We start from the raw sequence: 16,854 nt of genomic DNA on the forward strand, positions 1-16,854 counted from the left end.
TTAATTGAAGGAAGTTCAATGAAAAAAGTCATTTGCCTTTTTAACCCAATCAATGACCTTAAAAATGAGAGACAGCATTTCCACAGTGCATCTTTTCTTTCTTAAAAGCAAAGAGGGCTGGTAACACCTTCGAACTTTATGATTCACTATATTTAGTGCAAGAAAAAATATAGCTAGATTGAGCATCCTTTGATGACTGACTTAAACTGGAGAAGACAGGAGCATCACATAAATTTTAATATAAAGCAACCCGTTGTATATAAATGTAAAATATTTGAATTTAGATCCAGTGTAACAAATAATTATAAACAATAATGTGTCTAGTTTTGTATTAATGACTACATACTAGACACAAAATTTTAAACTAATATATGTTTATACCTCTATAAAAAGAGGAATTTTCCTCTCCCAAACACAACAATAAATACAATTGTTTTTTCCTCCAATGGACTGTGGACCAAATCCAGCACAGAGAACTAACAACAGCATAACGAAAATTTTTGAAAGACAACTGCGTGAACTGCAACCTAAAATAAAATTTTGCAGCTGATGCTAGAGTTAGTAACTCAACATGGATATTGGTGTTTTTTTTTTTTTGTTTTAAGGCTGTGTATGTGTGTGTGTGTGTGTGTGGTTGTGTGTATAAGATAGTTGGCAATCCTTGGCACATGTGCCAAATGAGTTTATGTGCTGAAAAAGGTATGTATACCAGCACAAATGCACGTGCCAAATGAGGTAAGGAGATAGCATCTGAAGTTAGGATTCAAAATTGTGGAATCCTTGCGGGCAGTTAACTGTTTCTTGCTTATCTTTTGATTATGAGAAGATACCTCCATGCCTGACTCAGAACACATAACCAGTGATTGTTGGTTGGGTGAGTAAATGACTGAACTTATCAATGAGCTTATGCAAGGGCCCTCCCCACTTTTTGCCAACCCCCACGGTGGGGCAACTGCACACACTATATACCTAAAGGGTGAAGGTCTTGTTCCTCTGGAACAGCTGAGTGGGTTACGTATGTGCACACAGTAACTTCTAAACATGCCAGGAACAGAGCTTCTTTGAAGAGCTGAGTACCCACAGGGCTTTTTTGCAGAGCTAAACCAAAGGCCATTCCATCAGCATTGCCACCTCTGATGATGAAAGGCTATATAAAGAAATACTGGGCATGCTTCTTTTGAAAGGTTGCTAATCCCTTGACCAAGGGCATAGTCTAAGTTTTGGGTAAACATACTCAAAATAAATGTGCATTAGTGAAACATATTGTGTGTGACCATGGAAAGGAAGACTCAAGGCCTGTGGACAGATAAATCGGAAGTGGATTAAATGATCAGAGGAGATTGTTAAAAACACAGGTCCCCAGGCCTCATCCCAGACCTACTGATTCAAAATGTCCTAGGGCGGGAAAAAGGAATTTGTAATTTCAACAATTCCTTGGGTTTGCTTATGCAATCAGAGTATCACTGATGCTTTAACTGGCTTTGGGAAGCCACTGACTAGATTATCTAAATTGAAATGAGATGCAGCCTCAGGAACAGGTAGGTAATTAAAATCCTACTTTACTCCCATGAATGAGGTTAGCAGCCACAGTGAGTAACTGCAATCTGGCCTGGGCCTTATTCACTGTGGGAAAGCCATGGTGTTCTAAATCCCCATCCTAGTCTTCTGGTAGTAAGGGTTAAACAGAAAGAAAGAAGCTATAGAACATTGGCTCTGTGCATTGGCACTAGCTAAAAAATTGTGAGAAATGCAAATTCTCAGTCTTAGCTGAGACCTACTGAATCTGAAACTCTAGGTGTGGGGCCCTGTTAATCATCCCTGCAGGTGGGTCTGATGCCCACTCTAGCTCGAGAACCACTGCCATAAAGCACAGAGAACATCCCCTTGGTTTGCTGTCCTCCTTTGTTGCTGTCTGAAGGCCTGAATCTAATCCCTGGGTCCTCCTTCTGTCTTAAGACTCTGAAGCATTTTGAGAGCATCTCTAGCTGGATTTACACCTATGCTCTCAAGGAAGTCACGCATGCTTTCCTTAGCTGAGCAGATTATGCTCAGAACACAACATTGCTCTGGTAGGTAGCTCCAGCATACACCTACTTAAAAGAGCAATAATGAGAGTGTCTAACTGCAGGAAGCTAAATCCTGGGATACCATCGGCATCTGGGTGTAGGCAAATATCCATATCCATAGTTGTGTATCCACTGAATCAAGGAAGGACGTCGGCACACTATGAGAGGATCCTCAGATGATTGATTCTAAATTCTAGTTCTAGAATTGATTCTAAATTCTAAGTTCTAGACCAGGCTTAATAGTTAAATATGTTCATACAAAATATATGTGCACCTGGGATTACAAAAAGATTTAAAAAAAGCTTAAAAAAAAGAAAAGAAAATTCTCATTCATAAAATTCATGGTCATAAAAACTACCTAGGCAGGCTTGGCATGGTGGCTCATGCCTGTAATCCCAGCACTTTGAGAGGCCTGTTTGGGAGGATTGCTAGAGCTTGGGAGTTTGAGACCAACCTGGGCAACATAGTGAGACCCTCTCTCTACAAAAAATTAGCCAGGCATGGTGGTGAGCACCGCAGATTGAGGTGGGAGGATGGCTTGATCCCAAGAGTTCGAGGCTGCAGTGGGCAGTGATTGCACCACTGCACTCTCGCCTGGGCAGCGGAGTAAGACCCTATCTCAAAAAGAAAGGAAAAAGTCAACCATCCAGGCAAAAAGATTCATCTTTTGGCATATTGCTTTATTCCATTTAGCCAAAAATCTTTATTTTGAATATCAAGCACATGATTTGGAATGAAAAAATGATAAAAGCAGTGATGATGTGCTATGATGAGTCTGATACCACAGGGATGTGGCCTTCTTTCTCCTTGTCTTATCAGAAAAACATTGCAACAACCAAGACAGTCCTAGTCCAACTTCTTCTACTTACCCCATCCCTGCCAAAACTGACATTTACCATTGAGGAAACTGAAGCCAGGAGATTAAATCCTTGCCCAAGATGCCACAGCTACACATGGTCAAGGATAAATTGGAGTCCAGGCATGGCAACTTCAAGTCAGTGCTACCACCACTGGTATTCTCACATTAACACTGTAAATTATCTTTTACTTTTCAAAGCATCACCTTGTCTGAACACTGTTATCAATGGCAGATCCAAACAATGCTTGATTCTATAGGAAAAGGTCTAAGCACAGAGAACAGATTAGTTCTGGGACCCTGGGGTTGGGACTGAGCTAGACCTGGTCCAAGTTGGCTTCAAATAGAAATGTGCTAACTCTTCTCCAGAAGTCAGCCAGTTCCTGCAAGAGCTTTAATTATATTTGAGACTCAGAATTTTCATAACTGGTTTAACACAGTCCAAGTGAAGACTCTGACATGGAGAGCACCGGACTGACCCTCAGAGTCCAGAGATGCTACCAATATTTGAGCCTACTGTCCATGAAGTAGGATCTCATGGGCTTTGATGTCATCACTGTGCAGTACTATTAAAAACTTCATAGAACTGTGATTACAACGATATATTCACATCCTTTAAAGTCACTTTTTAAATAATAGAATAATGCTTCTGCGACATTTGGCACACTGTCAAACAAACACCTAAAACTGACCTCTCAGCCATGTCTCTTCAGAGAAATAAGACAAATTAATATGTATTTGGTTAACAGTACTGGTACTTCTTTTAGGGAACTTGTGGTACATTATTTAATTCTCATTTCTCCCTAGTTCTAGACCAGGTTTAATAGTTAAATATGTTCATACAAAATATATGTCAAGGAAATAAAGAATGATAGCTCATCTGGAGGAACAAGACTTTTTTTCTGTCTCTTTTTGTAGCAATAAAAATTTACCATATTCATTAACATTTTCATTTTGCACAATGTAAGTTCACTAATTTTATATATACACAAACATAGGTAGACAGATATCAATATTGATATCTTCCAGACAACCCATTTCCAGGAAGTAGGTATACTTATGAATATAAAGATACTTATATGTGTTATATGCTATTTTAAACCTAAATTTATGTAAATTAAATTGTCACTATTTAAAATACTTCAATTTGTGCACAATTATTGAAATATATTTGTAGATGAACTTAATGTTTTTGCCTATAGTCGGATACATATATACATTTACATATGCAAATTTCTATAGTTCGTAGGTGTTTTCAGTAACCAGTTCTCTATCTCTAGAACACCGTCCCCTCCTTTTTTTTTTTTTTTTTTTTTTGAGATGGAGTCCTACTAGCTCTGTTGCCGGGCTGGAGTGCAGTGGCGCAACCTTGGCTCACCGCAACCTCCACCTCCCTGGTTCAAGCGATTCTCCTGCTTCAGCCTCCCGAGTAGCTAGGATTACAGGCGCGTGCCACCACGCCCAGTTAATTTTTGTATTTTTAGTAGAGACGGGGTTTCACCATGTTGGCCAGGATGGTCTGGATGTCTTGACCTCATGATCTGCCCACCTCGGCCTCCCAAAGTGCTGTGATTACAGGCGTGAGCCACTGTGCCTGGCCCGTCTCTTCTTTATCCACACTGTTGTCACTTTCATTATGATCATTACCACAAGTAACTTCCATTGGGCACTTGCGATGTTCCAATCCTTATTTAATCTTCACAACAAATGAATAAAACCATCTCCATTCTACAGATAAGAAAACTGAGACTCAAAGAAATTAGATGACTTGTCAAAGGCCACACAGAAAGTGTCCTCCAAAGCCCATGCTCACCTCCTCTATTCCTTTCCTCAAGCTGCTGGGAGAAGAAGATGTGAAGGGTGAAGCTAAATTCTGGATTTGCCCTCTCTGCTAAAGAAATAAATGCCAAAAGAGAGGCCCTGTATGTTCACATTTATGTCCTAGAGAGACACGGGATGACAGTACACTTAAAATTAAATATGAACCGAGAAACAAGCATCTCATAATTTTTGCACAGATGAGTGTATCCAATATGAGCCTACCCTTTATCTACAGGCTTATGATTATTTCCTGTGGATCTAAAGCTCAAATTAAATATGATTTTGAAGCAGAAACATCTGCTGAATTTTAAAGACTTTTCTGAGCCAAGGGATCTTTCAAGATTCCATACCTTTAATCCTTCCTGTTGGCCTTGAATGCCCTTTCTCTTCATTTTTCTTTCCTCCTTTCCCATTCTTCTTTACTAGCAAACTCCTATTGAACCTTTAAAACTTAGTGAAAAAGGAATCTCCTTCATAAAGCTTTCCCCGGCTCCCATTAACAGAGCTAGTGTGCTATGCTCTCTACTTCTTCAACAGTTTGTTCTTACCTCTGTTATTTACTTTTCTTCTTGCAATTTATCTGTTTACTAGTTTGTCTGTGAGCTTTTGCTAGTTTGTCTGTCTGTGAGCTTTTGCGTTTCTGATTCCCAAGCCCTGAGAAAGAGTAAACACTCAAATGTTAGTGAAATGTACAGTTTGATATCAAGAGCCTCTAGATATATTAATTAGAACCTGATGAGAACAAATCTGCTTTGAAGAAAGCGCCCAGGAAAGAGATTCCCTGGCTTCTAGTAGTCACCAAGCCTTAGGTTCCCTCCCTCCACTCTCCCTGCCCTATCGGCACTAGGTTATCACCCACCCAGTGTTTCACTGTGTGCATATATGCAGAGATGATGTGAGACACATGTCATACACTGCTTATAGAAATGGTGCCCTCCACCTCAACTCTGCCCTATTCCAACAGGGAAGAGAGAGTGCTAGGAGAGAGGGAACTGCCCACTGCCCAGCTTGTTTGGGTTATTCAGAAACATTACAGTTAAAAATGAAGTATAATGTAGTAATGGAACTGCAACACACGGTATTTTATGGACTAATTTTCCGTCATCACTTCTTTATGCCCTTTTCCTCTTAAATATAGTACTTTGAAAACAGGATTACAACACACTAAGAGCCAAAAGGTATTTTCTTTCAGCGGTTGTCAGGGACTACCTTCCAGGAGTTTAATTTAGGGCACCCCACTGAGAAACCTGCATCAGGATTTCAAATGAGATTAAAAAAAAGAAGAAGAAGAAGAAGAAGCTTTTGCTTAATTCTGCTTTAGAATACAGCCTTGCAAAACTTGCTTTCCAAAAACCATCAGCAAAGTAAATTTTTTCCTACATGCAATTTACCTTTTTTTCACATCAGATCAGTTGAGGGGAGGGGGCTGTAGACCCAGAAACACGGGGAGGATGAGGGGCCAGCAGTGAGACCTGCTAATTACTGATCTCTTTTACTCTCCTGCTGTGCTTAACTGTCCGGACATGTTAAAGTGAAATTTTTCTGTGATTTTTCAAGTGATTAGTTCATGGCCCGCTAGCATGGAGGGAAGCAGAAGAGATGAAATGCTTTCGTTTACATGCAACATTTACTAACTGTGAGGGTTTTCCGACATTAAAGAGAGGACAGTGACCCAGGCCACCTTTTTCACACTCAAAAGGGCACTGAAAAAACAAGTCTTCATCGGCTTACCTCAGGCTTCCCTGGTCCTGAACACCCTCCCCCCGGGGTATGAGCAGAAAGGGAAAAAAAGAGGGGATTTTATGCTCCTTTCTCTTCAACTTTTCAGGCGGTATAAGCAGCATTTAGCAAATTCAGCCTCAAATGGCTCCAAATGCTCGGAGCTGCAGGGGCTCATTCTTTGTTATCCTCCCTCTATTTACACAGGATTTACGCAGGCTCTCCACTGAAGAGACCGAAAGCACTTCCATTCTCACTGGCTTGGCCAGCCCAGACTGTGGCTGCTGCAGCTCCACGCTGGCCTGTGATGGGAGATTTCTACAACCTGGAGAAGGCAACAAACTGCTCACTAACTCAGTGATCCCGAGACAACCTGGCTGGTACAGGCAGCTGCAAAGCAGACAGGCCTGCAGAGATGAGCTAACCTTCCAGAAGAGAAAGGAAAACCCAGCCAAGGCTGTGCAAATGTGCGTCCAGAGACAAATAACATGCACTTTAAAATATGCATCTATATGATATAATGGAAAGTGGTGGGTGAAAAAAAAAATTCAGACTGCAGCTTGGATGAAAACCACTTCACCCACTGGTTGGAAAAATAAAGTGTAAAAACAGACAGATGGACACATATGTAAATGTGGCTGTGTTTTAGGCTTTAGCTGGCAATGTGAGTGTCGTAGTATAGTTTTGCACGCCTGTATTTTCCATATCATGTTGAATCCTGTTAACTGTTGAACAGAAACATCCTCATACTGGTCCTTGACCAAATCAGTCCCCTCAATTTACCCGTTAGGAACCATAAAATGGCTTTGTTTATTGACTGGAACAGTCTAATCCTTTATAGCAGAAGAGAATGAAAGCTTCCAACACTTTTAGCCTATTCTTCACTAAATGTGGTTATTCTCGTTTAAAAAATATATATATATATATATATTTAATTCATTGTCATTTGAAATATATATATATATTGCTTACCAATTTTAAAATATTTAAGAAAGGATCTCTGTTCTCCTAAGTCTCCCATTGAATTCTCTAAAGGATACTGACTGACCCTAGTAGAAAAGTACATTCCTCTGCCATTATAATTCAGCAGATTGCTTAATCTCTGTGGTGCAGGATAAAAGAATGTACTTGTTACTCAGTTACCTGATAAGCACATATAAAAGTACAGAGTATGTTCTGAAGTTATTCACAGTACATCATAATAAAGCTCTTCTGGGCACTCTAATGATTCATTTTTAGTGATCTCTCAAATGCCCTTTTCCACAGTTAACACTCATATTTTATTAAGGTAGAAGGCAGGGACAAATGTCCACTCAAGTCCCAGCTCTCAAATTTGACTCAACTTGCACTACACTACCTAGAGCTAAAGCTTTTTTTAATGTTCTGTTCACCTCCCTAGAGTGGCATTTCAGCTAACAGAGTTCACAATCCTTCAGCCCTAAACACAGAAGGCTGCTATCTTCAAGTCATCCTAGGAATGTGCCAGATACCATCATTTCCCTCCTGTGATACAAAGAACCAGAAAGGGAGAGAGACCAAGAGAAGACCAACCTGATCAAGTTACCAAGAGCCCAGAATGCCCCTCTCAGGAGGTTAATCTTTGAACTGGTAAATGTTATAATTAGGAGCCTTGAAGTTGGGCTGAGGCTGGCCATTGAAATAAAGACCCTAAAAGAGAAAGTATGAATGGATCCCATCTCTTTCACCTAATAGTTTGACACAACGGTCATGGTTTTTATGGAAAATTATACAAAAATGAGTTGTTATGATATATGAGTCTCATTCTCACATCTCCTACAGAAGAAAAAAGGTGGTCGGAGGGATGTGTCTTCCCAATTTCACTTAGCTATGTTTCAGTACAAATTGTGAAAATTATGCAAATAACAATTTTGGCACCTTTGCTAGAGGAAAACATTATTAAATTATGCTCTAAGTATTTTGTCTGCTTTAGTAATTACTCTCATGTAACTGTAAATATAAATAGCTGTTATTCTGTTTAAATTTTTAATCATGCAAAATATTGTCACACAAAATGTCCTTCTGTTGCAGTCTAACTGGGATTTTCTTTTTTAAAATATCCATATTTAACTGAAGTGGACTATTTTTAGCGTTGTGAAGTGTTTTAGTAAAGATAGCTGGCTAACATCTCTGAATCAACAGGTCTTTCAAGGAAAGATATGGCCTTTATATTTGCAAAAAGAATTTCCTACAAAAGGCCGTTTATATAAAACACATTTTTAACATTTTAAACTAAAACTAGAATATAATTAGTCTGCTTCCAAAAATGTATTAACTACATCAAACCTATACTATATGTTTTAGTATAGATCAATAATAACTATAGGATTTTCTAACTTATTGTCTCTTTTATCATACTTTAATATTAAATGAAACATTAAATGTCAGCTAAGTATTTATCAATAATAAAATTTGTTGGAAGAAATAACAAAAAAGCAAAGTTCTATCTGTAACAGAAATTATTTCATTCCATTTTTAAGAGTCCTTACTTCATTATCAAATTTGCTATCTAAAACAAAAATAAGACAATACATTTTTATAACATAAAATGGTTGATCAGTTTTAATTCCTAAGATGATATTGCTCTGTGAATTTATATCAGCAGATATAATTTCAAAGAGCAGAACAACAAAAACGAAGGTTTTTTGAATATTTCTTCCACTTTGCCAACTATTGTAAAATGAAAACAAAAGAATATTTTAATAAAAGTGTAACTTCGAAACTTTGAAAGTTAGTGTGAAAAAAACCCACAATAACTCTTTATCTTAAAAGATAGCCGTCTCTATAATAATAATGTTAACTAAGATAACTAGTTAGAGATATGTATCAACATGCCCTTTATGAAGTTTTTAGGAAGCTAGTGATAGTTACCTATAGAAAAAATGAACAATAGTATTATGGAGTTGATGACTGGTTTTAGGTGAATACTTTTTAAACCATTAACACACCAAATTTGGAACATATTTGTTAGCTATTAGAAAACTATATTTTGAACATTTTTTCAAAGAACATTTTCATACAATAGAGTTTCCTAATCAAACTTTGAATTTTTGTTTAAGAAGTTTATAAATTAAATTGCTAGCACTTTAAAAGTAAAGTGATGCATTCAGATATTCCATTATGATGATTGCTTTAAATAAATGTAGTGCCATTATTTGAGACCAAGCAGATATGTTTTTGTAATAGAATGCAAATGAATATCTACAACATACACATAATAGCCCTAGAGAAACAAATACTGTGTGGCTGCTTAATAAGAATAATCTAGGATAGCACAAGTTGATCATTCTTCGTATAGCCTATACAGGAAAGAACAGCAGACACTGAGGCCCTATAAAGTACATGGAAAATGGAAAATGACTGCTAATGGGTGTGAGGTTTCTTTTGGGGTGATGAAAATGTCCTAAAATCGGCTGTGTTGATGATTGAACAACTTTGTGAATATATTAAAACCACTGAATTATAAGCTTTTAAGGGATGAATTGCATAATATGTGAATTATATCTCAATAAAGTTGTGGTTTTGTTTTTTTTGTTTTTGTTTTTGTTTTTGTTTTTTTTGGAGACAGAGTCTCACTCTGTCTCCCAGGCCGGAGTGTAGTGGCTCAATCTCGGCTCATTGCAACCTCCGCCTCTTGGGTTCAAGCAATTCTTGTGCCTCAGCCTCCCGAGTAGCTGGGACTACTGGTGTGCGCCACCATGCCTGGCTAATTTTTTGTATTTTTAGTACAGATGGGGCTTCATCACGATGGTCATGCTGGTCTCGAACTCCTGAGCTCAGGCAATTCATGCACCTCGGCTCCCAGTGTGCTGGGATTACAGGCGTGAGCCACCGCAGCTGGCCTTTTTTTTTTTTTTAAGACCAGATTTTGGCCTCCCACTACAAATAAGCATGCTGGAAGAAATGTAAAAGCCTAGTAGTTGAACTTGAAGGTATCCATAATTTTTTCTGAATTGCTTCAAACAATGTGATTTCAAGGCCACTTACTAATCTTGTCTTAGCACCTTGTGTATGGACAAATATATGTACTTGAAAAATTTGCAATAGATATTATGCTGCTTATATTACAAAGATATGCATTATAGAATATATTACAAAGATATGCATTATAGAACATATATTGACTTTCATACTAAAATTAATCCTTCTCCACTCTCAATTCTATTGCATCACAGCAAAACCCTAGCCCAAATATTTGCTCTTCCAAGGCTTACATTAACACTCAGAACTCCAGAATACTTCCACAAACAGATACACACACACACATCCCACATCCCATGCCTACATTTCTACCCAATTATTGAAAGCTCCTTCAAGTCAAAAACCATATCTCTTTTTCTCATATTCTTAGAACTTCATATATGTTATGGGTATAGTTTGTGCCTAGGCTTTTATTAAATGAATGGATGGAGGGCTCTCTTATTTCTTGAAATATGCTTTTATGCCTTGTGGGTTTATATCTAAAACTTGGAAACAGAAACTATCTAGAATGTTTGTCTCTAAGAGGTGTAAATTGGCCATAGAGTTGACGTGTCATAAATTTCAAAGGCATTAACTTGTAAGATACACTCCATGGAAGAAGCAACTTTATTGAAACAGACAATAGAGAACAGGGGCCCTAAATTAGGAAGAGTATCCGACATACTTTTCTAAATATCTGACATTTTTCTATTTCTCTGGGCAGTTGTACTACTTTGTTTGTACACTGGAGACTGGCTTCTGATGCAGTCCTTGTCCCTCCACCCTGCCCCTCCACTCCCTCCTCACATAAACACAGAAGCACGTACTCATGGGGGGAAATGGTGATGTGATGGAAGAAGCATGAGTTTTGGAATAAAACAGATCTTGTGTTGAATTTTCAGATCTATTTCTTATTTATATTTGTTAAGACTAGTCAAAGTGAAAGAGTGTGAGTGAAGAAGAAATGAAGAAACCTGTGACTGGTTTTAATCAATTAGTTGTAAACACCACTGCACTTGGACCAGCCCCAGATCTATTCCTTATTGGTTGAGTATGACCTCAGTCAAAAGATTAACCCTCTGAACCTCAGTTTCCTCATCTGTGAAACGGGAAAAATTACATATACCTGACAGGTTAACCATAAAAATTAAATGAAATCATGAGAGAAAGAGCTATTACTTATATTGTGTCCCCACTTTGTACCCAATGCTTTATACTTATTAACAAACTTAAGGACTTCATACACAACATCTAGCCTCATGTAGTACCTGAAATAGCAAAGGTGCATCAATAAATGTTAGTTATTTCTTTTCTTAAAACAAACCAGTTTGAGTGGATAAACAAACTGTGGTATATCCACACACTGAAATACTACTCAGCAACAGAAAGGAATAAACTACTGATACCCCCAGCATGGTACATTTTGAAATCATGCTAAATGGAGAAAGCCACACGCAAAAGGCCACATACTGTATGATTTCAAATATATTAAATTCTAGAAAATGCAAACTTATACATAATGACCAAAAGCAGATCAGTGGTTACTTGAGGACATATATAGAGGGAGGGAGTGATTAAAAGGAGTGTAAGGAAATTTTGGCGTAATGATGGAATCGTGTAGTATCTTGATTATGGTGCTGGTCTCGTGAGTGTATACAACTGCCAAAACTTATTAAATTGTACACTTTAAATGGGTGCAATTTTTGTATGTAAATTATACCTCAGTAAAGTTCATAAAAATAATAAGCAAAGTACAGTTAAATCATCAAAAACCTGTTATTTGGCATAAAACACATTTTGGTGGAAAGTACAGCATTCAATACAGAGATGCTGTAGTGGGAATTCTCCCAGTAACTGCAGCAAAGTTCTGGATGATTTGGGGCAGCATTTGAAAGAAGCTGTGAGGAGAAGCTCAACATAATATTTATGAATGTGTTGATTTATATAATTTTCTTTAACTTCATAAAGATGTAAGGTGGGTGGTCAGAATGCACTTGGCAGATTTTACAAAAAATATCTCCATTGTTCAAATGTCATTATAAGATATATTGTTAACGAAGAACTATCCAAGTTGCAAAAAAAAAATACCGATAATAACTTTGAAAGATAATAAAAGTAATTCTTAATAAATTGCTTTTTAAAACTTTCAGGAAATTCAGTCTTAACCCATTCCTTCTAAGTAAAATATCTCACACCACACTGGAGATCTTAGACAATTTCAGAGGAAAACCACATCATTCATGAAAGACTGAGCACTCTCAAGATTAAGAATTAATGGAAAATACAGAAATAATATTAGCCCTTGCCAGCCTGCTCCATGCCTTCAGATAAATCCCTGAATCCACCATATAAGGATGAAATGGAAGTAACATTTGTGGACTGTCTACTACATGCCAGTTTCAGCAGGCTGTATCTCAACCACAGGACAGTTCAGAGTTTGGTAGTGTAATTCCTATTTAATATAAGCAGAAACTGAAGCCAGACAGGTTAAGAAACTCGCCTAAAGTCACGTGGCTAGTTGGTAATGCAGCTGGGTCTTGAACTCTAAATCCTGAACTCAAGTCCATGCTCTCTACTCACCACACAGACTCTATTCTTACACAGAAATGGAATTCATATTTTTAAAGGGTGGGTGAAAGGTGGGGCAAACAATGCCTTATGGCTTTGAACCTGGATAAGCAGTCACTTACTATCGGCCAATTATGGCCAAGTGATCCATCTGACTTTTGAGATGTGTGATATTTGGCACATATTAGATAATCGATAAAGGTTAGTTCCATTCCATTCTCTTTTTCCTTCCTTCTTTCACTTATTCGAAAGACCCATTCACATAAGAAAAATGAAAATAGAGTCACCGCTGGTTGAAAAACACATTTGCTTTATAAAAATATCTTCTTCCTTATTCTTCCGAAACTCATATCTCAAAACGGCACAAAAGCAAAGGGTCACGTGTGCTACTACTTAAGTGGGAAACATTTTCATACCTGATTGTCATCCATCTTTTTCTCCTAGAAAGGTGAGGAGCTGAAAGCCATGTAATTATTAGTTTGCCAAGACATATCCCCATTCTGCCATGAAGAAAGACAACTCGAAGGGCACCAACACGGCTTTATTCAGATCCTGTTAGCTAATAAAACAGGAACTGTAAAGGTTTTTGTTTGAGAGGAAAAGTTGTTCAACCTTTTCCCAGGAAAGAAAGGAAGGGGTTTGCTTTCTCAGTAGGTTTATTCATATACCTGTGGTAAACCAGCCTATGAGAGAAGTAACATCTTTGCTGTAAGATCAGACCTAAGAGCTACCAATCAAATAGCAGTCCAACCTTAATATGCTGATACAGCAAATTTCCGGATCTTGATCACACTAGGCTAGGGAGTCATTCTTCTCAGTGATAAAGTTGGCGAATGCACTCTTGAGAAGATAACAAATTAAAAACCGGCTGACTCGACACCATTTGAGTGAGGAATTCACCGCTGACCCAGTAGAACACAATTTCTACCACCAGTCAGTAATCACTGGAGAGGGGCCAACTTCACTTCATAGCTGTAAAACTATTCCTAACAGAGGGTCTTGGCACACTTAAAACATAACTGTCCGATTTACCTTATGCACATCTACTGAAGTTGGTAATGACTTCCTCAACTATTTATATTCTGAGTCATACTGTGTGTGAAGGTTCAAAGATTCTCAAGCAAATTTCCCAAAACTGCTGTATTATTTGGGAGAAAAAATTCTCCCAAAAGTGCTGTATTATTTAAATGATAAAAAATGTGAAAACAACTATATAACCAAGAGAATGTTTTCATTTTGAAAATATATTTTAAAATCTATAGAATTTCCACTAAAATATCTAGTTTTTCTATATATATGATGGGAAATGAAGTTGATATCCTCTATACATCAACCACAAGACATGATAGGGAGATAACTATTGGATTAGTTATTGTGAGACTTATGTTCTAAACTTTGAAACATGTGATCTTGGATAAAAATGCCTCATATCTATATAATAATTTTTCAGCTGTCAAATAATTCTTTTCAATTATTGATTACCACAACCAAGTGTAGGGGCATAGACTGTTATCCGCATTTAACAGATAAAGCGAGTGAGGTCAAAGTTTTCCTAACTTCTTGCCTTGCCTGTAGCACTTTCCATTACTTATGGCGTATGATAATATTAGGCTGAACCAGCTGAAATCACTAATATTTGACTTTTTGATCTACCAAAATGGCAATTCCATAAAGCATTATTTCCAGCTTTACTAGCAATTGTAATAAGGCTTTTCTTTTGCTTTTTCTATTTTTCAATTTGCTTGTTTTTTATGTCTAGCCTCACTCTCACAATCTCCCTCAATTACATTCTCTTTCTGTATTGACCAGATGAAAAAGATAAAGTAGAAATAAATTCTAAAAATGGAAGCCCTGACCTATGAGAGGCCAGTGATTTTACACACAGAAAACTTGCCAATGAAAAATCAGGAGGTGGGGAGACTTTGCATGTTTTTAATTGTGTTTTGTTTTGTTTTGTTTTGTTTTTTGAGACAGGATCTCTGTTGCCCAGGCTGGACTGCCGTGGAATGATCACGGCTTACCACAGCCTCAACTTCCCAGGCTTAAGCGATCCACCCACCTCAGCCCCCTGAATAGCTGGGACTACAGGCATGTGCCACCACACCCAGCTGATTTTTAAAATGTTTCTGTAGCGATGGCGTCTCCCTATATTGCCCAGGCTTGTCTCCAACTTGTGAGCTCAAGCGATTCTCCTGTCTCAACCTCCCAAAGTGCTAAGATTATAGGCTGAGCCACCGTGCCCAGCATAACTTTGTGTGTTTTTAAAGAGGGATGTAGAAAGAAGCCTGTTTGTGATATTTAGAAAAAGGAAGTATTCCTGTCAATTCTAATTTCAAATTTCAACAGCAGTAATTAGCATTGAGAAATGATTAGCGTACATTCTATTATATGCCGCTAGAGAAATTTTCACTCTAAGTGTTTTCTAGAATAACGACAGCATTAATACAAAATAATATTTATTGAGCACTTACTCTCTTCCAGACACTCTGCTAAACACTTTATATGAATTCCTTTGTTTAATTCTCATCATCCTATGAGAGTTGACATTTTCCACATGAAGAAACTAAGGCTTAGAGAGGTGGAGCAATTTGCCCAAGGTCTTATAGGTAACAGTGCAGAAACAGGGATGACACCAATTGACTGCATCCTATGATGGCTATCTCTGAGAGCTCAGAGTCCATCTGTCCAGAATTTCCCATTCTCCTATAAAACCTCATAACATTTCTATACCCTATTGAGTAATTCATGCCAAGATTTTGTGGTTGATCAACTTAAGACAATAGGAAATATACATTCGACTATGAACGTAAGCATCCTGGGGACAGGCACTGGGGTTTTCCTATCCCTCCTTACTCCTAGCACATAGAACAGTGCCTGGCACATCATAGGCACTGATGAAATACTTGTTAGAAATAAAATAAATATAATTCTTCCCTGTGTGTGTGTGTTTTTCCCCCCACTTCCTAGAGCCTCACTTTCAACTGTTTTCCTCATGAGAATGTGGAGAGCTCTCAACATTAAACAACATTACTCGACTTCGGAAACCTTCCACCACTGCCACAGCCACCACCACCTTCAACCTTGCTGTAAGCAGTAAAATTGATTCATCTCACTGACAAAAATGTGATAAAAGAACGCCAACCACAGAGGTGGAGAAACCACTCCTTCTCCTTGAACAAATGCTGCTTTCTGATGCCCCTGATTGCTTTTCTTTTCTCGCTAAGGTTCACTAAGTACGGAAAGCTCGGCCCTGGTGAATATGGGTCAGGTTTGTAATGCAACAACTCCACCCCTTTCATTACCATGGAATCAGTTAACAATCCTGCTAGTTCTACCACAAAAAATAAAGTAATTGGTCCCAGTGGTTATTTAGGTGCTGCGGAAGTCTTAAAAACACTATTATCTCCCGTAGTGATTTGCTAGCCTTTCCATACTCCAAGCAGCACATTGGGACTTCTAAATTACATACCATAATTGACATAAAATATCTGTCCCATCAGTGAATATCTTTATTAGCATCAAAATCACTCACAACTAGTGTTCCTCAATGTTATTAAACATAACTTGTTCTAGGTGTTGCTTTACTAATTAGTCAGGATGAGCCCGAGGAAGAAAATCTGGGTCATGTTAAATTAATTGGAATGAGCATGAAAATTAGCAGAGCAAACTGCATCAATTTTCTATAGAGAGTCTTTCTTCATGTTGAGAATAAAAATGGATATTATGAGGCATTAACCAAACTGCCTTCTGTGACTGCCAAGAGGTGTGTTACAGTAGCCCAAAATATCATGCTCGCAGATTTTCAGAAGTTAATGAGACATTTCCAGGAATGGTAAATACATGGTG

At 37.9% G+C, this 16,854-nt stretch overlaps 1 protein-coding gene across 9 annotated transcripts in view, besides 2 other annotated features; it reads right to left on the reverse strand.

The window, feature by feature from the left end:
• Positions 1–16,854, reverse strand: part of MEIS2 (Meis homeobox 2) — a 212,108-nt gene that overhangs the window by 150,260 nt on the left and 44,994 nt on the right. The window lies entirely within an intron of this gene.
• Positions 5,938–6,532: an enhancer, noted in NCBI's record as "NANOG-H3K27ac hESC enhancer chr15:37337602-37338196 (GRCh37/hg19 assembly coordinates)". NCBI's record gives its function as "activates a minimal SCP1, AML or CMV promoter by ChIP-STARR-seq in naive H9 embryonic stem cells {active_cell/tissue: H9 hESC(naive)}" and the evidence as "EXISTENCE:reporter gene assay evidence [ECO:0000049][PMID:30033119]".
• Positions 6,533–7,125: an enhancer, noted in NCBI's record as "NANOG-H3K27ac hESC enhancer chr15:37338197-37338789 (GRCh37/hg19 assembly coordinates)". NCBI's record gives its function as "activates a minimal SCP1, AML or CMV promoter by ChIP-STARR-seq in naive H9 embryonic stem cells {active_cell/tissue: H9 hESC(naive)}" and the evidence as "EXISTENCE:reporter gene assay evidence [ECO:0000049][PMID:30033119]".

This window comes from Homo sapiens, chromosome 15 (assembly GCF_000001405.40).
Source record: "Homo sapiens chromosome 15, GRCh38.p14 Primary Assembly".
In the NCBI taxonomy this organism is placed as follows: domain Eukaryota; kingdom Metazoa; phylum Chordata; class Mammalia; order Primates; family Hominidae; genus Homo; species Homo sapiens.